We start from the raw sequence: 25,648 nt of genomic DNA, 5'->3' as shown, positions 1-25,648 counted from the left end.
TAAATGGTTACCTTGTTTAATTGGAATCTCTTTGAAAAGAGTTGACATTAAAATTCTTGTTCATTCCTTCAATGAATATTTATTGCATATCACTTTGCACCAGCACTATTCTGGGGAAAGAGCAGTAAGCAAGCATAATTCCTGCGTTCATACTCTGTATTCTTAAAGAAATGTTCATTTAAAAAAATGCTTGGCTGGGTGCGGTGGCTCACGCTTGTAATCCCAGCACTTTGGGAGGCCGAGGCGGGTGGATCACGAGGTGAGGAGATTGAGACCATCCTGGCTAACATGGTGAAACCCCGTCTCTACTAAAAATACAAAAAATTAGCCGGGCATGGTGGCGGGCGCCTGTAGTCCCAGCTACTTGGGAGGCTGAGGCAGGAGAATGGCGTGAACCCGGGAGGCGGAGTTTGCAGTGAGCCGAGATCGTGCCACTGCACTCCAGCCTGGGCGACAGAGTGAGACTCCGTCTCAAAAAAAAAAAATAAATAAATAAAATAATAAAAAATAAAAAATAAAAAAATGCTTGAGGGGTTAAACATTTTCCCCCACCTCATACAGCTGGCAAGTGGCTACAAAGAGATTATAAAATGGTCTATTTTACTCTCAGTCTTTCCAATTTTACTATACTACCCTGAGAAGGGAAATACAGGGGCTTTTTTTTTTATTTTGAGATGGAGTTTGGCTCTGTCACCCAGGCTGTCACTCCAGGCTGGAGTGCAGTGGTACAATCTCAGCTCATTGCAATCTCCGCCTCCTGGCGCTCAGGTGGTCTACCCGACTCGGCCTCCCAAGTAGCTGGGATTACAGGCTCGTGCCATCACGCCTGGCTAATTTTGAAATACAAGGGCCAGGTGTGGTGGCTCATGCCTGTAATCCCAGCACTTTGGGAGGCCGAGTCGGGTAGATCACCTGAGGTCAGGAGTTTGAGACCACCCTGGCCAATATGGTAAAACCCTGTCTCTACTAAAACTACAAAAATTAGGCGGGCGCTTGTAGTCCCAGCTACTTGGGAGGCTGAGGCAGGAGAATTGCCTCAACCCGGGAGGCGGAGGTTGCGGTGAGCTGAGATCACGCCATTGCAGTCCAGCCTGGGCAACAAGAGCGAAGCTCCATCCCAAAAAAAAAAAAAAAAAAAAAAAAGTTACTCCAAGTCATTTCATGAGGTACATGTGAATATCGGTCTTATTGCTTTATAGTCTTGCTTGTTATGAACAAAATGAAATCCTCAGCTTTACTACAACTTATTACCTAGAAGAACTTTGGCTTTTCCAGAAATCAAATTCAGCTTCAGGCAAGGAGCATTTGTCCCCGCTAAGGGTAGTCAAGGAGTAAACCAAAGTCTCTGAAAACAGTTCTGCTGTTTAGAACAAAACAAAAGTTTAGTCAGTGGTAGCCACATTAGATCGCATATGTGAATTCCCAACTCATTTGCAAAGGTGAAGACATTTACGTGCTCTGAAAGTTGCTTTGGTTTTTCAGTTTATGTGAGGATTGTCAGCTTCCACCCCTGCTTGGGTTGTAGAATCCTGCATGTCCAGAGCGTCTGTAAGTTACCACCAAGAGTTTAACCTGTCAGCCCCAAGGACAAGGGCCAACACCTTGTAGCATTGCCTGTGACCCTTAGCACAGTACTGGACACCTATCGTAACACTGTTATAAATAGCCTACTTCCTGGTATTTGAGTGTAGATAGTGCTATCCTGGTGAAGGGTGAGGAGGACAGCATTTAGGCCACTTGGACTTTCTTTCATATAAAGATATTAAAAATACATATCTTATATAAATATGATATCATCTCATCTATTTTCCTTTAATCTTCTAACTCCAACCCAGTAATGATCTCAGAAAAATTAATCCTTCCATTTCTTTTGTTATTTCCCCCAAGAGTGACCATAATTACCTCTGACAAGACTATACTCAAATCAAGGAAAATAAAATCTGTTTTGAAGGGAAAAGAAATCTTAAAAAGAAACAAGTGCGTCAGCTTGAGAAGATCCAATAAATTCCTTTAGAGTCTCCGTAATCTCCATGTCCATTTTCTTTTTTTTTTTTTTTTTTTTTTGAGGTGGAGTTTCGCTCTTGTTGCCTAGGCTGGAGTGCAGTGACGTGATCTCGGCTCACTGCAACCTCCGCCTCCCAGATTCAAGCGATTCTTGTGCCTCAGCCTCCTGACTAGCCAGGATTACAGGCACCCACCACCACGCTAATTTTTGTGTTTTTAGTAGAGACGGGGTTTCACCATGTTGGTCAGGCAGGTCACGAACTCCTGACCTCAGGTGATCCACCTGCCTCAGCCTCCCAAGGTGCTGGGTTTACAGGCGTGAGCCACTGTGCACGGCCTCCATGTCCATTTTCATTGTTCTCTAATTAAACTGTTTCTATGCATTAACATAATTTAAAATTCAAAATAAAACTGAACAATCAAATTTCTAATTTTATGCCTTGGTTCTGTTTGTTGTCCAGGTTAGGGGCTAGAACACTGTCAATTATGCATATTATTGTTTGTATGAAACGATGTGATCAAACTTTCAAACAGCCAGCTTGACAGCCAGAGACTGACCTGCACATGTTATTTTTGGCCCACATTGCATATTAAACATTTTTTAACTCATTGCCAACACCGAAAATTACAGGTATTTCACACAATCTGGGCTTTCTACTTCTCTTGAAAAATTGCCATCTGGCAACACTAGGCCAGCATCTCTGTGTCATGTAATCGCCTGTGGCTGAGCAGCAGCTGCTTTCTGAGGGCATTGTTTCTCTAGTTTACCACAAGACTCCCTACTCCCTGATATTACACCTGTTTTACTCATTTCCATTAGTTGCCCTGGTCCTTGAAGACATGAGTTTATGACCTATATTCTACAGAAAGCTCATTTAATGTTTCATGTAATAAATATTTATTGAATTACTTTCATTTTTACAAGTGTTGCAAATGGTTCCTGTGCTTCAGAGATTCAGAATCTATTTGAGAAGATGAAAGATATTGTGCAGCAAGCAAAAATAATCAGGAACATAAGCCTAGAGACGTTAGGAGGCCGTCAGTACATGGGTGATTTTCAAATGGGCAGTACAAGGCTGTGAACTCCAAGGGGTGAAAACTGAGCCAGGATGGTATTACAAAGGTTCAGATTGAAGCTGTACCTTGAAGAATGGGTCAGAATAGTATCACGCAGGGGCCAAGAGAAGCGGGTGGCATGGGTGATAGAGGAGAAGAAAATAAACCATCAACAAAACCAAGCTGCATGTTTGGGAAGTAGGCCTATTTGGTTGGATTAAAGGAGTACAGGCTATCTCTCATCAGTGAAAGCTTCTGTCACCCACCCTTTAATTCTCACCATTATTGTCCGTTAACTGTACAGTTGTTCAGGAGATGCCCAAACAGAAAAGCAGCAAGCTGTTTGCGTAACTTCCAGCCCACTTCTTTTTAGGCAAAGCATGTTTTCCACTTTCTTAAAACTCCTACATGTTAGTCCTTCCTAGCTCTCCCTCCCCCAAGAAAAAATGGGGAAGAGACCTTGATTCCTGGCACATGAAGGCCTCTGGAATCAACTAGGAAAACTTGGTGTGAGAAAGACAATAGGAAAAGTGAGAAAACGGGAAGCTGGTTATGAAGTTAGGAGAAAATGCAAAGGAAGTGCGGAAAGTTTAGCATGTACTACCACATTTCTGGAAGGGCCCAGGATCACCCGCCACTTTTGCATAAAACCTAGGATGCCCATGTGAAGAGCCTTCACCTCAAATCTCCTTCAGGATACTCTGGGCTTATTCCTCTAGTCCCTTGGAACCTCTTAGATCATTGGGATGGCTTTGCATGTCCACATCCCAGTATCGAGCATCACATAGAACTTATGCAAGCAAAATCAGTACAGTCCTATGTCCTATACAATTGGACGTAAGATCAAGCTGAAATAAGAGCAAGCATCCACCCTTCTGTCCCCCACAGAAATACACACTATGTGGACATCTTTTACACTGTGTGAACACTAGTCACTATGTGAATACACTATGTGTAGTACCAGGTGAAGTGTTGGGTATTTGGTGTGCGGAAGACCGGAAAGAACTGGATCCAGCAGAGGAGAAATACTTCAAGAGGATGCTCTGGGCTGGGACTCAGCTGGGTTGGAGCCCTGGCCCCAATATATAGAGCAGGACATTGGTTACTCATGTCAAGGATGGACTCAGTCTTCATCTGTAAAACAAGGGGGCTAGGCAAGGCCTTCCCAAAGCAGTCTCAAGGGATGTGAAGAGTTGTGAAAAGACTAAAGTTTAAGCAGAGTTAAGTAAATTTCTCACCGCCTGCTGGGACTTGTCAGTGTGTTTCAAAAGCTGACGTGCATTGTGAATCTCTGAGAGGAGAATTGCTGGGCAGCAATTTCCTGAGCTGAGTGAATCACAGATCTCAGAACTCTTCAGCCTGCTCTCATTGCAAAGTTGTGTCCTCCATCTGCTGTTCTGTAGAATGTTTGGGAAAGGCTGCTCTGTAGTTTTCCTTCCAGCTCTGACATTCTAAAATTCTAAGTTGGTAAAAAGGCTACAAAAGCCTGGAAAGCCAGAGATGTCAAAGAGAGGTCAGAGATCTGGTTGTCGTACTTGTCTAACAAGGTTGCACGTGGTGAGGATTTAGAATGATGCTCTACTTCTAGGTCTAGGGGAACAGATGGAACAGAAGAGTGGGAGAAAAATCAAAACAAAATAAGTATAAAGTTAAGTCGATGAAGGGGAAGAGAAAAAAAAAGTTAGGGTTGCAGAAGCATTGAGATAAACTGGAACTATTTTCAATCAAGATATAATGAAAGAATCTTGAAGTAGAAACCTGCTGCCCTGATTCTTGTCTGAACGTGTCTGTAACTGGGTGACTCAGAGCTTGTCACTCATCTCTCTGGGCATCAGTTTCCAAGAAGACAGTCTGTATTTGTGGGCCCTTTGGGTTTTAAAATTATACGACTTCATTTGCATCCATTTAAGATTGAAGCCTTAGGGAAGGGATTTATTGAAGAAAGATGTATGAAGAAATGAAGGCTGAGACCTAGACTAGAGAGAATTATTAGGTCAAGAGAAGCCCATTATGAGCCCAGTGAAGATGGGCTCTTTTTTGTTGTTGTTGAGATAGAGTCTCACTCTGTTGCCCAGGCTGGAGTGCAGTGGTGTCCTCACCGCAGCCTCTGCCTCCCAGGCTCAAGCCATCCTCCCATCTCAGCCTCCCAAGTAGCTGGGACCACAGGCATGTACCTGCCACACCCAGCTAGCTTTTTGTATTTTTAGTAGAGATGGGGTTTTACCATGATGCCCAGGCTGGTTTCAAACTTAGCTCTGGCAGTCCACCCGCCTTGGCCTCCCAAAGTGCTAGGATTAAAGTGTAAGCCGCTAGGCCTGGCCCAAAGATGGGTCTTTTTTTTGGGGATGGGAGTGGGGGATGGAGTCTTGCTGAGTCGCCCAGGCTGGAGTGCAGTGGCACAGTCTCGGCTCACTGCAACCTCACCTCCCAGGCTCTTGCAGTTCTCCTGTCTCAGCCTCCCAAGTAGCTGGGATTACAGGCACACACCACCATGCCTGGCTAGTTTTTGCATTTTTAGTAGAAATGAGGTTTCACCATGTTGGCCAGGCTGGTGTCAAACTCCTGACCTTAAGTGATCCGCCCGCCTCTGCCTCCCAAAGTGCTGGGATTACAGGTGTGAGCCATTGCACCCAGCCCAAAAGATGGGTGTTTAATGATACTCTGCTAAACTGTGAATTCCAACTACTAGGATTTCTCTACAGAATTGCACATAGACTAGATGGTGTCCTTTCGATTGGCTCCTTATGTCAGTGTGGCTTAATTTCACAACTAAACTCATCAGACATAGTTATTAACTGTCCTGAGGAATTGATTTACTTGATTGTTTCATCCAGGTTTATGTTGTTTTTTGTAATTATCCAGTGCCTGGATAATTGCACTTTAGTGAGCCATTTCCAATTTTTGTTTGCAGTCTTGTGCCATTTTCTAGGTTAGGTTTTCTTCTTGGGTATTTGCTAAAGTAAAATCAGTTTTAGTAATCTCTTAACTCTAAGACATACTAATGCATGTCTTAGTAAATAGTTTCAGATATTTGGGAAGCACCAGTGTATTTCTTTCTCAAGCACTATATATGTATATTTTTAAAAGTGATTACGGACATTCCTTTATTCCATATTCATTGTTCCACAAGCATGTGTTGAACACACTGTATGCGAGGGGTTGTAAGTGTTAGGGTGAAGCAGTGAACGAATACATAGTTTTCCTCATGACCTACGTGAATGGGTGCCTAGCTTCAAAGAAAGAACAATTGACCATGTAAATAGTCACTCCCTCATTCATTTTTATTTAATAATCTTATTCATTAGAAGTTATAAAGGATGATAAAATGGCAACTTTCAGCAAGGCTTTGCCAGAAAGAAAATATGTTTAGTCACTTTGTTAACTGAATTCATGGTATGAGAGGAGGAAAATGTTTGATAATATTAAGTAACACTACTGTGGTAAATAACCTTATGCTTATATTTCTTTACCAGATCACTGGGTCACAGGCAGTTCAAAACCTACAAAGAAGCTAAGAGTCTTTACATTAGATGTATTCTTCTTGAAAATTCTTAACTGCTATATGCCAGCCTATCAAGCAGTTAAATTTGATTATGCACACCTTTATTTATATTTTACCAAGTCTGATTGATCCTTAACTACTTTATTTTGTTTTTTGAGACAGGGTCTCGCCCTGTCACTCAGCCTGGAGGGCGGTGGCGTGATTACGGCTCACTATAACTTCAACCTCCAGTCTCAAGCAATCCTCCCATCTCAGCCTCCTGAGTAGCTGGGACTATGGGTGTGAGCCACTATGCCTGGATAATTTATTTTATTCTATTTTTTTTGTAGAGACAGAGGTCTCACTATATTGCCCAGGCTTGTCTTGAACTCCTGGGCTCAAATGATTCTCCTGCCTCCGCTTCTTTTTTTTTTTTTTTTTTTTTTTTTTTGAGACGGAGTCTCGCTCTGTCGCCCAGGCTGGAGTGCAGTGGCGGGATCTCGGCTCACTGCAAGCTCCGCCTCCCGGGTTCACGCCATTCTCCTGCCTCAGCCTCCCAAGTAGCTGGGACTACAGGCGCCCGCCACTACGCCTGGCTAATTTTTTGTATTTTTAGTAGAGACGGGGTTTCACCGTTTTAGCTGGGATGGTCTCGATCTCCTGACCTCGTGATCCGCCCGCCTCGGCCTCCCAAAGTGCTGGGATTACAGGCGTGAGCCACCGCGCCCGGCCCTGCCTCCGCTTCTTAAAGCACTGGGTTTACAGGCATAAGCCACCGCATCTGGCCAACTATCTTATATTGAATATGTCTCACATAGCAAAATAATGAAAGCATAGCTAATGCGAGCAAACTTAAATCCTTTCTACTTCTTAGCTGGTGGCAGGGGCACACACTTGTTCTTCAAGTACATATTTTTCCCAAACATTTGTTTCAGTGAAGAGTTCTGATAATTTTCACAGCAATGTTCTAAAAGCTACATGACAAAGCATTCACAAGGATCAAACTACATAACAACATGGGATGCACCTGCTTTAGAGAATTTGCTGCATTCTGTGTCTCCTCCAGAGCATTAATACTTCTCAAATGCTACCTACAATGATTTCATACTTACACATTTTGTTTGTTTTTCCTAAATAGACACTACTAAGAAAACACCTAAACATGGGATTATAAATAATAAATAGGAGTGTTGAAGGTAACATACGTTATACATCCTTCTTCACTAAAGCATTGTTCTGCAGTGGGGAGGCCTGTGCAAACCTACCCCCAAAGTCCGTGGAAGCTGAGGGACCAAAGAAAGAGGCTGACATATCCAGTTTCTCAGAAAGAACCATTTAATCATTTAATAGATACCTATGAATGGAATGTCTCAGGTGGTGGCAAGATGAGATGGTGAATCCCTGTACCATTACCCCCCCAGACCCAGGACTTATACGTAACAGGGAAAGAGTATTTGTGATTCAGAAGAGATGTGTAGGACAATTGAAGTACAGTCAATTTAAGGTTGTTTTGACCTCAGGGCAGGATTTACAGTAAACAGTAGATAAACTGGAAGTCTTAGAAGCCTTCCCAGGGCTAGGGTTAATCATAAGTCAACATGACAGATGAGCATCCAAGATGGAGTTGCTTTGGCCTCCACAAGCATGTTGTTTCCCTAAACTCGGAACCTTCTTCAGAACTTGAAGTGGCAGTTTTCCTGAGGTCATTAACAGTAGTGCCATGGCCTCCACCACAGGCTCTGTCTATTCCAGCACTCCCTGAAATGTAAAGCTGATGTGTGGGTTAGGAAAAATAGTGTTTTCCTTGTGTTCTGCTTTTTCTGCCCTAGGAAATTTCAGGGCTAAAGGAATTTGAGAGTTAAGCAGTGGGAATATGTTTATCTGCTCAGTTATGGGGCATAATTTTTCTTTGAAAAAGGAGTGTTGTTCAGTCTTTTTTTTTTTTGAGACAGTCTCATTCTGTCGCCCAGGCTGGAGTGCAGTGGTGTGATCTCACCTCACTACAACCTCTGCCTCCTGGATGGGTTTAAGCGATTCTCCTGCCTCAGCATCCTGAGTAGCTGGGATTAAAGGCATCCGCCATCATGCCTGGCTAATTTTTTTTTTTTTTTTTTTTTGGTATTTTTACTAGAGACAGGGTTTTACCATCTTGGCCAGGCTGGTCTCGAACTCCTGACCTCAAGTGATGCTCCCGCCTTGGCCTCCCACAGTGTTGGGATTACAGGTGTGAGCCAACGCACCTGGCTGAATGTGTTCAGTCTTGGTTTGGGTGTTCCATGTGTAGTGTAATGGTGTGATGTATGGGTTTCGAAGTGGCATTCTTCATATCTACTTGACATCCTTTAAAGGCCTCAATTTGCAATCCTCACAGAAGAGATCATGAAATAATAGTTTCAAGTTAAATTCATTATTTTCACCTTTGGATACGTTTATTGTGTTCAAAATGAAAATTTGAAAATTTGGGGCAAGACAGGATCTGATTGCCTTACTTTAGTGTAAGAACATCAGAATAGGTTTATATTGTATTTTAATTAAAAACCTGAGTCTTTTTAAAGCTTGCCAGTATTTTTTTTAAACGCTTTAGTTCTTTGTTTTCTTCATGATCTTTCTCTTCAGTTTCTCTCTCCTCTTATTTTTTGGTGTCATCAGACATCTCAGAGTGGGAAATTCTCACCGTGTCACTCCACTTCCACTTTTTCCTCATCCCCTTCTTCCTGCCCCTCCTTCTCCCCCGGTACCTCTTGGTCCTCAGGGCCCTGAGCCTCTATGGTTCATGCATATCCCCTCTATTTCGCCACTGAGTTCACGTATCTTGGCAAGTAAAGGCTTATAGGTGTCATACTTTTTTTTTTTTTTTTTCTAGAGGCTGAAATGTCTCATCACATTTGGCTTCAATTTCATGGGATTCTTCTACAGCTTTTTGAGGGCAAGGACTTGGCATTTCACCAAGCTAGGCAGGCTCTCAATAAAGTCCTTAGTCACTTTTAAGCGTCAGTCATTCTTTGCGCAGCCTAGGGCACTCTGCTGTCTGACCACTCTGCTGTGCTGTCAGTCTCCACTCAGTGCGACGCTTAATCTATGACTCCCACTACAGCCACCTGGCTTGACTTTGCGGGTTCCTTGTTTCCTGAGTCTGCCATGTTAGAGAAGTGCAAGGGTGTAGAGTGGCTGATGGAGGGGGGGGGGCCTGTGACGCCAGTGGTGGCCCCAAAGTAGGCTGTCATGTGACATCAAAGTAGATGCCTCATGGGTCCCCTGAGATTTGGGGCAGGGCTCATGCTCCTCCCCATCCATTTATGGCTGTCCACCATCCTGGGTGCCTGGATACTGAGATGACTCCAACCTGGTGTCTGTCCTCAGCAAGTTTACAGGGAAGTTGCACACAAACCAAACCTTCCACTTGACATGGAGAGCATGAAGAGATCAGTTGTCTGTCCAGAAGTGAGTAGTAGGGGGAGGGGGGCTTCACAGAGGTGGTGTCTTGAAGTTTGAGGAGGAGTTCAGGGGAGGGACCATTCAAGCCTGAGAGAGGCCACCAGCTGTCATTCAGATGTTCTACCTGAGTTTCGTCATTACAAGTCGTCCTCTTAGCAGTGTTGCCCCAAGATGCCTCACCCATTACCTTGGCAAAGAAAATCGGTAAGATTGAACACTGCCTAATGAGAGTCTATTTCACACCTTTAATTGACTAGGCCAATGTTTCTGAACTCTAATGTGTAAAAGAATCACCTGGAGAAACTCCTGGGTCTGCCCCAGATGTTCTAACTCAGTACGCGGAGTTAGGGCCCAATAATTTGCATTCAGATGCTGCCAGTTTTTGGACCATCCTTTGAGTAGCCCTGGACTGGACAACTTGATTGAGTAATGATAATAATAGAGATAAGAAAAGAATTCGTTCTTAAAACCCAGGAGATTGGTTTGACCAGGTGTGTCATTCACGTAGCCTGCAAAAAACCTGGCCCTCCCACCTTAGCCCTGTAAAATGCAAAGGTGGTTCACTATGATGTTTGAACACATGGTGTTATCTGGAGGCGGCCATCACACTTGGCACAAGTGGTGACAAGGAGAAGATGGCGGGAATCACTATATTGAGTGAAGCCAGTTTCTAATGGCTGGCATTTGCATATCAAAGCTTGCTGGCCTGGCCCTTTAAGCCACCTTTTCTGTTATAAAAGAGATGATTCAGGGGTTGTTTCTTATTATAGGAAAATTTCCACCGAGAACCTTTACCCTTACTATCTGGCTAAAATAATGTGTTAATAACCCCTGTATTATCTGTACGTGTTTAGGTGTCTGGTGGGCAACACTCAAATGTTTGCTGAATGAATTAGTGGGAGCTAAACGATGGGTGTGCGGTACATACAGAATGGAATATTATAGACATTGGAGACTATAAAAGGTCGGGGGTGGGGGGTGTAAAAAGTAAAGTAGAGGTTCCTCTTCAAAGACTTTCCTCCCCGTCTAATTAGGAATAAATAGTAACTTCTCTTAAAAGCAAAATTTATTCAAAGACCTGTGCTAACATTCTTAAATATCTGCTAGCTGTAATAAAGAAATCAATACACTTCATGTTCTTAGAGCCGACAATTTAGCCTGAATATTTTCCCTGGCATGCTTATAGTGGTCCAAGCAAGCATTAGGTCATAGCTGTCCCTCTTCCTTATTTAAAGGTGTTTTTACCTTTCTCAGCATTCCACAAGTTACTTCCTCCTTCCTTCCTCCTTCCTTTGTTCTCCTGTACCTGTGCCTCTTTTTAAAAGTTCTAAGTTGCTAGCCAGTCGGGACAAATACAGAATGTGAGGTCCCATTCCAGCCAATGGAAAGCGGACACAGCAGTAGGGTGGATGCGTCAGGTTATAAATGACCCTGCCTCCTTTGTTCGGTGTACTCTTGTGGCAAAACTTCTGGCAAGTGTACCCTTTCTGCAGGAAGTAAAAATGGCCTTGCTGAGTAAATTAAATTTATGTTCAAGTGCTATTTCTTTATGGCACCAGGGAACAAGCATTTCAAACGGGGGTGAGGGTTGAAAAATGACCTGTTTGGTACAGTGTTCACTATGTGGATGATGGGTGCACAGACTTCACCACTACACAATATATGCATGTAGGAAGCCTGCAGTTGTGCCCCTTTAAGGTATATTTAATACATATAGTTTAAAAAATTTTTTAAATGTTTGAATGAGTAGGTAAAAAATAAATATGGACCCTTTTCCTTGTGGTGGAGTATTTTATCTGTAAATTCTCCTCAGGAAGATCATTATATGGAAGATCTCAATTGTTGTATAGATATTTTGATTGAGACTTTGTTAGACATTAAACAAGTTTGTTGTAATTGTGGATCTTTCAATAGACTAAACGTTTGGAAGGAGTGACTTGTTCCAACGTCTTGGATCCGTTAAAACAAGAAGCTGCTCCTGGTGTAGATTTAAACACTCCATTGTGTGTTTTCCCAGATTCTGTCCCAACAGCCAGTGACTTCCTTCTTGCCTCTGGAACTGGCAGGCCATCCTGTCTTGTAATGCCTCAGGCCAAGGAGGGACTGAGCTGCATTAACTTGAAACTACTGGCTGTAGAAATTGTCCTTATTGTAAAGGCTTGGGCTTTTGTACTGATGCTAATTTTCTCAGACACTGTTTATGTAGGCAAAACTCCTGCTAACCAGCCCAGCAGATCAGCTGGCAGAGAGAATGTGCTGCCAGTGGGGTAGAGTTTGGGATACATTTCATGACCTACTTCCCCTCCCTACCCTGATTTTTAAACCTTTTCATCTTAAGTGCAGCAAAACCTGTGTAATAGGAGAGGTTTCCGTTTAAAATAATGACAGTGTTTAAAATAATCACAGCTCTGATTGATAATATTCAGAGCAGTGGGTCAGGATCAGTCGAACTTTTGAGAGTTCTGGTGCTTGCTTTTTATTTTTATTTTTTGAGATGGAGTCTCGCTCTGTCGCCCAGGCTGGAGTGCAGTGGCACGATCTCAGCTCACTGCAGGCTCCGCCTCCCGGGTTCACGCCATTCTCCTGCCTCAGCCTCTCAAGTAGCTGGGACTACAGGTGCCCACCACCACGCCTGGCTAATTTTTTGTATTTTTAGTAGAGACGGGGTTTCGCTGTGTTAGCCAGGATGGTCTCAATCTCCTGACCTCGTGATCCGCCCGCCTCGGCCTCCCAAAGTGCCGGGATTACAGGCGTGAGCCGCCCCCCCGCCCCTCCCCCACCAACAGCTTGCTTTGTCACTTAGGGCTTTATGATCCTGAGCAAAGCATTTAACTTCTCTAAGCCCCAAATGAGCATACGAGTGTAATACCTGCTGTTCCTATCACAAGTCCTTGTGACATTCAGATGAGTGAAAGTTCAAAAGGTCATAAACTGTAAAGGTCCATTTGAAAGAGTACATGGTTTATTATTATGTATTTTAAATAGTAGGCAATAACTTGTCATGATCACCATGTGAATGTGTACAAAAGGGTACTTAATTTATTATCATCTGAATCTGGCTCTTCAGATATCAGTAGATGTCTATAAACATCATTCCCCTTGTATCTTTTGTGTTTATGTGCCATTTAAGACACAGTTTTTTCAAAGATGATGTCTAATTTGCCACTTCCTGCACTTTGTAAAAAGCAGAAGATTAACCCAACTTCTGGAGTGTCCTGTGTAACACATTTGTGAAGTCACAGGGCATGAGTGGACAAGCTCTGAACTGTCATATCAAAGAAGGGAATATGGGAGGTTTTGTTTGGAAGTTTAATTCTTCTGTGCTGCTTTTAGTCAGCTGCTACTTGGAACACTCAAATGAAAACAAATGCTGCTGTCCTGGCAATCAAGGGAGGCTTTTAGCAGCTTGGGTAGCCTCAGGAAGGGCATTTGTTTATGACCTCGTGTACATGAGGCACTGGAAAAAAATTTGGCCCCCGAGACCCAGACTTTTTCCCAAGGAGCTCACGATCTAGTTATTGTTGTGGGAGGTAACAGAGATGTGAGTATAAACTTAATTTTTTAAAAGTCTCATTTTTATGTGCCTGTGTGTATGGAAGGCAAAGGAGAGTGAGACAAGAATAGGACCAAGAGAGGTGTAAATGACATGGCTCCGATGACTGAAGGAACACCAGGGTCCTTGGTCTCGCGCCAGTTTAGATAAAATGACACAGACACGTGTGGAGTAGTTTTAAGGAGCGGAGAGTTTATTAGGCAAGAGAGAAGCAAGGAAGAAAACAGCTCCCCGGTACAGAGACAAAGGGAGGGGGGATTCGAACGACGAGAAACCCCGTGTGTGGCAGGAAAAGTGGTTGCTTATATTGGGATGCTGGAGGAGGTGGTGTCTGGTTTGCATAGGGCCCAGGGGATTGGTTTGACCAGGTATGTTATTTACATTGCCTGTGAAAAACCTGGCGAAATTTCCCACCTTAGCTCTTTAATATGCAAATACGGATCGCCATGATGTTCTGAACACATGGTATTATCTGGAGGTAGCCATGACACTTGGCACACATGGTGACAAGAAGAAGGCAGGAGTCGCCATATTGGGTGGACCATTTCTAACGGGCGGCATTTGCGTATCAAAGCTTCCTGGCCCGGCCCTTCAAGCGGTTTTTCTGTTAGAAAAGAAATGGTTCGGGGTTTGCTTTTATTAACAGAAAAAGCCTTACCAAGAACTCCTTTTAGCCTCTCTCTCTGCCTAAAAAAACTTTTTTAAGTAACACCTGTATTATTTCCCCCCTCAAGAGAAGCAAACCTAACTGCTGTTAGGGGGTGTTGGACGATGATTCTTTGTGGCCACTTCCTGCTGAAAAGGAGCATGCAGGGGAGCAGCAGTTGGGCCTTCTCCTGAGGTTGATTTAAGGATTCTTGGAAGAATGGCGTGTCCATGTGTGGTTCTGCTTGCAGTACCATTTGGAGTTTAATTGCTTCTAGGCGAAAAGAGATACGTTTTACAAGAAGGTTTAAAATATAGTGTTAGAATAAGAGCATTAAGATTACCACCATCAGTGGGGGTCCTGTAGACCATAACTGACTTAGAGTTTGGTACCTATTAGTTACACCAATGGATTGCAATACTGGATTGTCTACACTAGATGTCGCTGTACATTACCAGAAACGTTAACATAAAAGTAACATTTTCCTTGAGAACAGCATGCATTTCTCCCTTGACTTGCCATTAGAGAATAACTTTAGGCTTAGGCCATTTTTATAACTTGCAGTATGATTGAGAGAAATACGTTATTGGATGTCTAAAGTAACTTTAGCATTAATTTTGACAATTCCTTTCCTTTAATGATTAAATTTTTTCATGATTTTCACAGACTCTCTTACAACATACATTTTTCTGACTCATTCTAAACATCCTTCCTTTAAAAAACCAGTCATTTCCTTTTATGACAAGTATTTACCATACAAAATCCTTTTTTTTTTTGTAAAATTTTTTAAAAATTATACTTGTGCACAATGTGCAGGTTTGTTACATAGGTATACATGAGCCATGTTGGTTTGCTGCACCCATCAACTCACAAAATCATTTATTTATTTATTTATTTATTTATTTATTTATTTATTTGAGACAGGATCTTGCTCTGTCACCCAGGCTGGAGTGCAGTGGTGTGATCTCAGTTCACTGCAGCCTCCACCTCCCACGTTCAAGCAATTCTTCTGTCTCAGCCTCCCCTGAGTAGCTGGGATTACAGGCACCACACAGCTAGCTTTTATATTTTTGGTAGAGCTGGGGTTTCACCATGTTGGCCAGGCTGGTCTCGAACTCCTGATCTCAAGTGATCCGCCCGCCTCGGCCTCCCAAGGTGCCGGGATTATAGGCATGAGCCATCGCACCTGGCCACAAAATCCTTTCTTATATAAAATGTATTTCTTTATAACCTTTTTTTCATAGCTTAGAGTGCATTATATTACCAACCTTTAGTAAAAAGTCCTATTAAACGTAATGATAGTAAAACTTCTATGTTTGCTTTTTATCCGTAACTATTACTCCTGCTATAAGTAAAACAACTTTGACTAAATTTTTCCTGCAATTAATCCTGTTATAAGGATGATAATCAGGCAAAATATTATGGCAATTAGAATTTTACAACCAGAATTCCACATTGTGGGTGCCACAGTGTATAGTTCTATTGCGAATAGTAGCGTAACTGTAACAATTTCCACAAGAGTGGCATAGTAAATAATTTTCATTGAAAATTTTACTTGCCAAGATATAACATTTCCCTCTGGGGATTTACAAAGTTACAAATGCAATCCCATGTATAATTAAAATTTCCCTGTAAATAATGCGTTAAAAAGAAGTTCTACTATTTGGTAGCAAATTTTGACAGGAAAGGATAGAAATGAAAAAAAGTATCTGTTGGGGTAAAGGTGGGACTGAGTAAGATGAGTAGCCCTCACTTTTTTTTTTTTTTTTTTTTTTTGGAGACAGAGTCTCTCCCAGTCGCCGAGGCTGGAGTGCAGTGGCGCGATCTCCACTCACTGCAACCTCCGCCTCCCGGGTTCAAGCGATTCTTCTGCCTCAGCCTCCTGAGTAGCTGGGATTACGGCACGTGCCACCACACCCGGCTAATTTTCTTTGGTATCTTTAGTAGAGACAGGGTTTCACCATGTTGGCCAGGCTGGTCTTGAACTCCTGACCTCGTGATCTGCCTGCCTCGTCCTCCCAAAGTGCTGGGATTACAGGCGTGAGCCAATGTGCTCAGCCTACTCACTTATCTTTTATAATTTTCAACTTAAGATGTTCTATTAATACCACATTTCTTGGGTTAAATAAAGGTTTTATTTCCTGGGGTTGGGCTTCTGCTGGTTGTGTTAATTCTTGTGGGAAGTGAGCTTAGAGAGGTTACATGCTTAACCAATTTAGAGCTTTTCTGCCTGAAAAGAAATCTCTGAACACATTGGTAAGTTTTATCCATTCCCAAGTAAAAAGCTCGGTGAAGGATTTTAAGGACTTTCATCGGCTGCAGGCTGGCAAATAGAGTTTGCCATCCTGACTGTCGCCGTCCTGAGGGCTGAAAAGTATGCGGCTGAGAAGTGGCCTATTCTGTTTCTGCAGAGGAATACTGAGGTTTAATTTCTTTTAAAATGGAGCCCTCCTAGATTAGAAGGGCTCAAAGTGTGTTAGTGCCTTGAGGCTTCCTTGCCTTTGACTTGGCTGCCTGATCAGCTAATCTGTTTCCTTCTGCTACCTTATCTGTTCCCTTTCAGTGTTCCCTACAATACATCCCTGCTGTCTCTCATGAAAGAAAAACTGAGGATAACCTGCTAATTTCCTGGTAATATTTTATAGGAGATATATTAGTGTTAAGAAAATGCCTTTCCTTTCAAATGGCAGCATGAGCATGGAAAATCAGGAAAGCATACTTGGAGTCAGTATAAATGTTAGCCACCTTTCCCTTGCTTAATTTAGGTGCTCTTGTAAGAGCTCTTAGCTCAGCCAATTGAGCGCTTGTGTTTGGGGAGAGTGACTACTGCCTCTCCTGCTTTATGTACCTCTTGCTTCACTGGCTGTTTGCCGGCTAAGAGCTCCCCCTAGAGGACAGTGATCCTGCCACATTATGTGGGGTGTAAACAGTTAAATTATTTCCTAGGGTTAACTAGGAGGCTTTTCTGACTAGTAGAGCTACTATGACAATGGCTTGGAAGCATTTGTAAATAGGTCCTCCTAACCACAACTAAGGTTGAGAAAAATATTGGATTAGAGTTTTTCTTGAAATGCCCCTTATAGTTGCGCTATAGGAAGAGAGGAGGCCTGGCTTAGAGAGGAGAAAAGAGAGAGACTGGGTCTAGTGTTTAGAAGGAGGTCTGCTTCCTTTTCTTCAATGTCCAGTATCACCTGGGGCTCCTATGCTATGATGGCAGTTTGAGCTGCTGGAGCTGAGGTTTGGGCCCCAGGACCCATCAGTCCTGTGGGACCATCTGTGAGACTGGCTCTGAACCCAGTGACCTCCATATCTGGGGACAGTTCTGTCTCCACTGGTTTTTGCCACTGGATGGACAGGGTTGAGGTGGCTTCGTCTTGCTGCCTGGGCATTCCTCTTTAAAATACCCTGGCCTGCCACACTGATAGCAACTAATGGATGCATCTTGGGGCTCCTGGACTTTGCCAGCCTGCAAAGCTGCTGCTAGAGCCTTTGTCCTTCCCCTGAGCTTTCTCTCTTTCTTTTGGGCCTCCTCCTGGTCCCTATTATAAAAGACCGAAGTGGCCCCCTTCAGGAGGTTCTCTAAGGTGCTATTTGGTCCCATAGCTTGCTTCTGTAGTTTTCTTCTAATATTGGGAGCTGCCTGTGTAATAAAACTGTCCTTCAGGATGAGCTGTCTCTCCACTGAATCAGGGGATAAAAGGAAGAGTGTTCTATTAGTGCCTCTATCAGCCTTTCTATAAAGGCCACAGGATTCTCATCTGGCTTTTGGTCTATTATAGACAGTTTAGAGTAATTGAGAGGTTTGGCCCTGGTTTTCCATAGGCCTTCTAAAACGCGTATTAAAAAGGGCTTCCTGGCCAGGTGCGGTGGCTCTCACTGTAATTCCAGCACTTTGGGAGGCTAAGGCAGGCAGATCACCTGAGGTCGGGCGTTTGAAACTAGCCTGTCCAACTTGGTGAAACGGTACTCAACATGTAGGCAATTATAATGCAGTGGTAAGTATTTGTAGATCTAATACTTGGTGAAACTTGGTACTCAGCACTGTAGGCAATTACAATGTAATGGTAAGTATTTGTATATCTAAACATAGAAAAGGTACAGCAAAATATGATACAAAAGATTAAAAAATGCTACCCCTGTGTAAGGCACTTACCGTGGAGCTTGCAGGAGTAGAATTTGCTCTGGGTGAATCAGTGAATGAGTAGTAAGCAAATGTGAAGGCCTAGGACATTACTATGCATTACTGTAGGCCTTATAAATACTGTACACTTAGGTTACACTAAATTTGTTTTAAAAATTAAGTAATTGCACTACAATGTCACAATGACAACAATGCCACTAGGTTATAAGAGTTTTCCAGCTCCATCATAATCTATGGAACCACCCTCATATATGTGATCTGTTCTTGAGCAAAATGTCATCATGCAGCACCTGACTATATGTAACAAGTATGTGTGTGCCTGTGTGCATGTGTGTATGTATATATACATGCTACATTTATATACACCTGATATGTGCATGTGTAATTATATATGTAACAAGTATGTGTGTGCCTGTGTGCATGTGTGTATGTATATATACATGCTACATTTATACACACCTGATATGTGCATGTGTAAATATATATACACACATGTAGCAGGTGTATATATAGGTAGCATATATATATATTTGTATATATATCTATATATGTGTGTGTGTGTGTGTGTGTGTATGTGTATGTGTGTGTAGCAGCGGTTTTGTGCTAGAACCAAGAGCCTGGAACTGGTACAATGAAAATATTTTACCCGAAAGGTATGCTAAGTAAAAGTCCCAAGTTTCACACATTTTTGAGGATCAAAGTGAAGAACTCAAAGTGAATTATTAGGTAATCATATCTACTTCTTCCTAAACCCTCCATCTGATTCTGTGCTAAAATTTAATAAATACCAACTGATCTTTCCATCTCCATAAAATTCTTTGAGTTAACGAAATCCTACTTTCTGGTTTCTGAAGGATGGTATTCTGCAAATGTAAAAGTTTCCCTTAACCTCCAAAAAATAATTGGGTTAATCCAGCTACCACAAGTGTGAAATTGAGAAGCTGCTTGCTAAGATTGAATTTAATATTGTCACATGTCATCTGAGAGCTGCTTGTCTGATCATGTTGCCACTGGACAAAGTAAGCCTTACTACAAAGGATAAAAGAATGATTATTTCAATATCCAGTCATAGTTCATCATCAAACTCTGAGTAAAATGGAGAGAAAAAGACGTTTTATCTTATATGACTATGCATTTCTCTGGGAAGTCATTTATCTGGTTACTATCTAGGAGAGCAAAGATAATGGGAAAAATCTTCCATTATTCTCAACTATAATTTTAAATATGAAATTTTCATAAAATAGGTTTTTGGTTCTTTTAAAAGCCCTCAATATAAGAAAATGAAATATTAGAAACTTATTTTATAAAATATATTTGTGAACCATAAAACCCCATATAAAACGGAAATTATTATTACCATTAACTACTGATGCTTCTAATGTTATTCTCTAATGGTTAAAAAATGACTAGAATTTAGAGTTACTGCCAATATATGGGGAGGATTTTATAAAAATAGCTTTATTCATTTGCATGTTAAGCAAGAGTGTGATTACTGATGGCCGTAAGAGTCCCTTGCTGCTTTAAGCTCTGCTCTGCTGCTGACTCTACATGTGTAGCTTTGAGAGGTCCTTTAGCCCCTCCAGCTTTCCTCATAGTCAGGATGTGGCTATTGTACTTGATGATATCCCAAACATGCTTCTGATTCCAACATTCAATGGTTCTGTGATATTTCTACCTTATTAGAAAAGACATTCACTTTAAAAGTATAAACGCTGTAGTAACTTTTTTCTTTCATTGTTTTCAATAAAAGTGTAATGGAAGTAAACTGACAAGTTTAGGAGGCTTTCAGAACATAAAGGAGAAAGGCTGACAGCTCTTGAGAACCTCTTTGCTTTCAGCTGAGAGCAAGTAGAGAATGCTTGCTCTCTGGCCCTGAATGTCATAATATTATGTTCAGAATCATTGAAATGTCTGACAACACTGTTGATTAAAAATGAGAATCATTAGGTCATGTCTGCCGTTATAGGATGAAGGGTAGTTTGAACAGTGTGAAAAAAACTATCCCAAAAGGATGATTTGTCTTAGACAATATTAACAAAATTTCAAATTATAATATGAATAGTAATTTATAGTAATTCACTTTTCTTATTTTTCTATATTTAGCTTTATCTTAAAAGTTCCTGTTCATTGGTAATGCTTTGAAAAATGCTGGATTTAGAATTATGGACTATCAACTAATATTATGGATGATATTATTTAGAAACCATTCTGTATGCTACACAAGTCCTTTGAAAATGATATGAGCTGGACACAGTGGCTCACACCTGTAATCCCAGCCCTTTGGGAGGCCAAGGCAGGTGGATCACGTGAGGTCAGGAGATCAAGACTAGCCTGGCCAAGATGGCGAAACCCCATCTCTACTAAAAATACAAAAATTAGTTGGGTGTGGTGGCAGGTGCCTGTAATCCCAGCTACTCAGGAGGCTGAAGCAGGAGAATCACTTGAACCCAGGAGGCGGAGGTTGCAGTGAGCCGAGATTGTGCCACTGCCCTCCAGCCTGGGTGACTCCATGTCAAAAAAATAAATAACCACTAAAATGGCTATTATTCATCTTTCAAAATCTGTTAATACCTGGAAGTTCTGCATGACCTTTAGGAAAACTACATCCACAAAACATTCCTTCTAGTTTCCTAATAAGTTTTAGAAGAAATATTACCATTCTGAGCTAAAATAGTTCTACTTCCTTAGGGCAAATTCCTCTCATAACATGAAATAGGCAAATACAATTACTCTAAAAAAAGTTCAGCCATAGCATCTTAGAGTTTAAAGGAATAACCCTTAGGAGTTCACATAATTTTTTTCCACTGCTTCCTAGGCAGATCTCATTTAGTGTAGCTGGCGTGTTGCCCTGCCCACACGAACAGTGGACTTCTCCAAACATTTCTTTAAATATTTTTCTCACAAAATGAGAAGTTGAATCAAAACGTTGGTGTTAATTCAGTGTCTCAAAGACATTAGACCCAAGGCCTCTGTCTTTTCCTCATGGTTGCTGATGAAGGCCGAAGCTATAGCCATAATGGTAATATTCCAGTTGGAGAGAGAAGAAACTACTCTTTTGTATACTAAAAATACAAAAATTAGCTGGGTGTGGTGGCATGCGCCTGTAGTCCCAGCTACTTGAGAGGCTAGTACAGGAGTCGCTATGTTTTTAGCCAGCCCATTCAGTTTTTGTAAAGCTCCATCATTACATTTTTCATCATACTGACCTAATACCTAGCTATATTTAGCTTGCTCACGCTCTGCCTTCTGGGGGGAAAATATATATGTCTGTGCATTCTCTATATCTACCTAGTATCAATTAGAGTTTTATGTTTTCCTGCATGTAACAGAAAACACGTTAACAGTGGACTTCTCCAGATACTTCTTTAAATATTTTTCTCACAAAATGAGAAGTCGAATGAAAGCATTGGTGTCAATTCAGTGTCTCAAAGATATTAGACCCAAGGCCTCTGTCTTTTCCTCACGGTTGCTGATGAAGGCTGAAGCTATAGTCATCACGGTAATATTCCAGTCGGAGAGAGAAGAAACTACTCTTTTGTAAACTAAAAATACAAAAATTAGCCAGGTGTGGTGGCAGGTGCCTGTAGTCCCAGCTACTCAGGAGGCTGAGGCAGGAGAATCGCTTGAACCTGGGAGGCGGAGCTTGTAGTGAGCCGAGATTGTGCCATTGCACTCCAGCCTGGGCAACAGAGCGAGACTCTCTCAAAAAAAAAAAAAAAAAAAAAAAAAATGCTTCCTTTTCCATTTGTTTCCTGAGCTTATTGGTGTTCCAGTTAGGGTTATTTACTGAAACTGCTTCCCTCCCTATTGGGAATGGTGTTTCTGATATTTTTTCACTTTCCCTACCTGCTTTCTTCCCTTTTGGTGTATTATAGGAGATATATTGCTCATCTCTGAAATTATCTGCTGCTTACAGAGCTACCTGCTCTTCAACTGCAGTGAGGGTCTGGTTTAGGAGGAGAGTAACATCCCTGCATGTGAGGTGAAATACCTGAGTTAAATTTTGGAAAGCTTTTATGTACCAATCATGGTTGTTAGAAAATTGGCCTAAGTCATCTTTTATTTGCCTAAGGTTTTGTTATGAGACGGGAACTTGAAGGGGGCCCAAATAAGGGGGATCCTCAAATGGTTCCCTGGAAGTTGCTTCTTTAACTTTTGGGGAACTGTTTTCCCTGGGACTGCCCAATATGATTGCTAAAAGAGCTGGGTTGATCTTACAGTGCTTGGCAAAGGTTTAGTAAAAATGCCATGCCCTTGTATAAAAGAAAATGAGTTGCTTTTCTCTTTAAAGTCCTTAGGTTAAGGAAGTGTTCCAGTGCTGTAGAGTGCACTCCAGAGGGGTGCAAGCTGAAGAAAATCTGTTACCCATCTAGAAAAAGAAGTGAGAATAAAAGCATCCTCTTAGTCTCCTTCCTTTCCGTATGACCTAGGGTGGAGGAAAAGACAGGGAGTGTTCGACTGTTTTCCCTCCCTGGTTCCTGGGTTCTGCCACCAAGTTAAATATGCCGCCCATGGTTGAAGACATGGTCCTCCAAGCCATGGAACTGGATAAACTAAGTGATGGGACTAACCGTGCTTTACTGCGCAACCTTAGGTCATCCACCTTCTGTGATTTCCCTTTGACTTCCTAAACCTGTGTGATCTGCCTGGCTCCCCAAAAAACGTATCTCCAGAGAGACTGTGTCGTCTTTGAGCAAGGCTCCTTTAATGGAGGTAGTGTGCTAGATTGCCTGCTATTATGCCCCGTGCTAAAGCATTTACTCCTAGAAAAATGGTTCTGGTTAACTTCCGTACTTAAAATCCCCTTACTAATTAAGTACTGTCTTGGAGACAGAGTAGGTGCCTTAAAAATACATAGGAACCGAATGGCCGTTTTCCCTGCTGATGGGACGCATTGAGACTAAAATTTGGCCACAGAAGACATCTTACTCCTAACTGTTGAAAACAGAGCTCTCCTGTTTACACAAGTAGCCTAGAGCCTGATTTTTAGTGGTGTGAAAGGAGATTGCAGTGTACAGCAAAGGACCAGCAATATGTCCTATGAAGAGGATTTCTATTTCCACTAGGCGGCGCTGTTGGCTTAGAAATACCTTGGGCTCGCCAGAGGATTACTAGCCGGTAATCTCACTGTTGGAGGTGGAAAAGGGGAGAACTCTGTTCCTAGAAGGTTGCAATGGCATTTTCCTGAGCTATATCCCAGGTCTACAGCATTTCCTGATCTTGCCTAACAGGATTACTTCTCTAGGCTGTAAAAATTCCCACACATTCAACACACAGAAAGTAAGAGATCGCAGACAGAGAAACCAGGAAAGAAGGAAGGTTTTGCAACAGGATAGCCGGCAGACAGCCTTGAGATTAAAGGACAGATCTGAGATTGAGATTTGCTCCATACTCACCGCTCCGATGAATGAATTCCTGGCCAATGCACCAAAATGATACGGCTCCGATGACTGGAGGAACACCAGGGTCCTTGGTCTCGCACCAGTTTAGATAAAATGACACAGACACACATGTAATGGTTTTAAGGAGTGGAGAGTTTATTAGGCAAGAAGGAAGGAAGAAGAAAACAGCTCCCCCATACAGAGACAGAGGGAGGGGGGATTAGAACAAACAGAAACTTGGTGTGTGGCAGAAAAGTGGTTGCTTATATTGGGATGCTGCAGGGGGCAGTGTCTGGTTTGCATAGGGCCCAGGGGATTGGTTTGACCAGGTGTGTCATTTATGTAGCCTGCAAAACACCTGGTCCACCCACCTTAGCCCTTTAATATGCAAATGCAGGTTGCCATGATGTTCTGAACACATGGTGTTATCCGGAGGCAGCCATGACACGTGGCACACACCGGGACAGGAAGAAGAAGGCAGGAGTTGCCATATTGGGTGGACAATTTCTAATAGCCAGCATTTGCATATCAAAGCTTGCCAGACTGGCCCTTCAAGTCGTTTTTCTGTTAGAAAAGAAATGGCTTGGGTTCCAAGAATAGAAGCAGCTCCAGTCTACAGCTCCCAGCATGAGTGACACAGAAGATGGGTGATTTCTGCATTTCCAACTGAGGCACTGGGTTCATCTCACTGGGACTTGTTGGACAGTGGGTGCAGCCACGGAGTGTGAGCCAAAGCAGGGTGGGGCATCGCCTCACCCGGGAAGCACAAGGGGTCGGGGAATTCCCTTTCCTAGCCAAGGGAAGCTGTGACAGATGGTACCTGGAAAATCGGGACATTCCCACCCTAATACTGTGCTTTTCCAGTGGTCTTAGCAAATGGCAGACCAGGAGATTATATCCCGCGCATGGCTCGGCGGGTCCGACACCCATGGAGCCTTGCTCACTGCTAGCACAGCAGTCCAAGATCAAACTGCGAGGCAGCAGCAAGGCTGGGGGAGGGGTGTCCACCATTGCTGAGGCTTGATGAGGTAAACAAAGTGGCCAGGAAGCTCGAACTGGGTGGAGCCCACCACAGCTCAACGAGGCCTGCCTGCCTCTGTAGACTCCACCTCTGGGGGCAGGGCATAGCTGAACAAAAGGCAGCAGAAACTTCTGCAGACTTAAACATCCCTGTCTGACAGCTTTGAAGAGAGTAGTGGTTGTCCCAGCATGGAGTTTGAGATCTGAGAACGGACAGACTGCCTCCTCAAGTGGGTCCCTGACCCCTCAGTAGCCTAACTGGGAGGCACCTCCCAGTGGGGGCCAACTGACACCTCATACAGCCAGGTGCCCCTCTGAGACAAAGCTTCCAGAGGAAGGATCAGGCAGCAACATTTACTGTTCTGCAATCTTTGCTGTTCTGCAGCCTCTGCTGGTGATACCCAGGCAAACAAGGTCTGGAGTGGACCTCCAGCGAACTCCAACAGACCTGCAGCTGAGGGTCCTGACTGTTAGGAGGAAAACTAACAAACAGAAAGGAATAGCATCAACATCAACAAAAAAGACATCCACACCAAAACCCCATCTGTAGGTCACCATCATCAAAGACCAAAGGTAGATAAAATCACAAAGATGGGGAGAAACCAGAGCAGAAAAGCTGAAAATTCTAAAAATCAGAGTGCCTCATCTACACCAAAGGATCACAGCGCCTCGCCAGCAACGGAACAAAGCTGGATGGGGAATGACTTTGATGAGTTGACAGAATTAGGCTTCAGAAAATCGGTAATGACAAACTTCTCCCAGCTAAAGGAGGATGTTCGAACCCATCACAAAGAAGCTAAAAACCTAGAAAAAAGATTAGACAAATGGCTAACTAGAATAAACAGCATAGAGGAGACCTTAAATGACCTGATGGAGCTGAAAACCATGGCACGAGAACTACGTGACACATGCACAAGCTTCAGTAGCCGAT

The 25,648-nt window shown here is 42.7% G+C and overlaps 1 protein-coding gene, 1 long non-coding RNA gene and 1 pseudogene across 5 annotated transcripts in view, besides 3 other annotated features; 1 reads left to right on the top strand and 2 right to left on the bottom strand.

The window, feature by feature from the left end:
- NCEH1 (neutral cholesterol ester hydrolase 1) overlaps positions 1–25,648 on the top strand; it is an 80,819-nt gene that overhangs the window by 20,673 nt on the left and 34,498 nt on the right. The window lies entirely within an intron of this gene.
- Positions 489–988: an enhancer, noted in NCBI's record as "H3K4me1 hESC enhancer chr3:172407197-172407696 (GRCh37/hg19 assembly coordinates)". NCBI's record gives its function as "activates a minimal SCP1, AML or CMV promoter by ChIP-STARR-seq in naive H9 embryonic stem cells {active_cell/tissue: H9 hESC(naive)}" and the evidence as "EXISTENCE:reporter gene assay evidence [ECO:0000049][PMID:30033119]".
- NAP1L5P1 (NAP1L5 pseudogene 1) lies at positions 9,174–9,681 on the bottom strand (annotated as a pseudogene).
- Positions 12,331–12,966: an enhancer, noted in NCBI's record as "OCT4-NANOG-H3K27ac-H3K4me1 hESC enhancer chr3:172395219-172395854 (GRCh37/hg19 assembly coordinates)". NCBI's record gives its function as "activates a minimal SCP1, AML or CMV promoter by ChIP-STARR-seq in naive H9 embryonic stem cells {active_cell/tissue: H9 hESC(naive)}" and the evidence as "EXISTENCE:reporter gene assay evidence [ECO:0000049][PMID:30033119]".
- Positions 12,967–13,602: an enhancer, noted in NCBI's record as "OCT4-NANOG-H3K27ac-H3K4me1 hESC enhancer chr3:172394583-172395218 (GRCh37/hg19 assembly coordinates)". NCBI's record gives its function as "activates a minimal SCP1, AML or CMV promoter by ChIP-STARR-seq in primed H9 embryonic stem cells {active_cell/tissue: H9 hESC(primed)}" and the evidence as "EXISTENCE:reporter gene assay evidence [ECO:0000049][PMID:30033119]".
- LOC124909457 (uncharacterized) lies at positions 13,702–23,936 on the bottom strand. The gene is made up of 2 exons (XR_007096170.1): positions 23,713–23,936; positions 13,702–14,448 (listed from the first exon to the last, which is right to left on the bottom strand). It is a non-coding gene; the product is annotated as an uncharacterized LOC124909457 (long non-coding RNA).

Source organism: Homo sapiens, chromosome 3 (genome assembly GCF_000001405.40).
Source record: "Homo sapiens chromosome 3, GRCh38.p14 Primary Assembly".
Taxonomy (NCBI): Eukaryota; Metazoa; Chordata; class Mammalia; order Primates; family Hominidae; genus Homo; species Homo sapiens.
The sequence above is the reverse complement of the archived record's forward strand: the minus strand, read 5'-3'. Positions and strand labels throughout refer to the sequence as shown.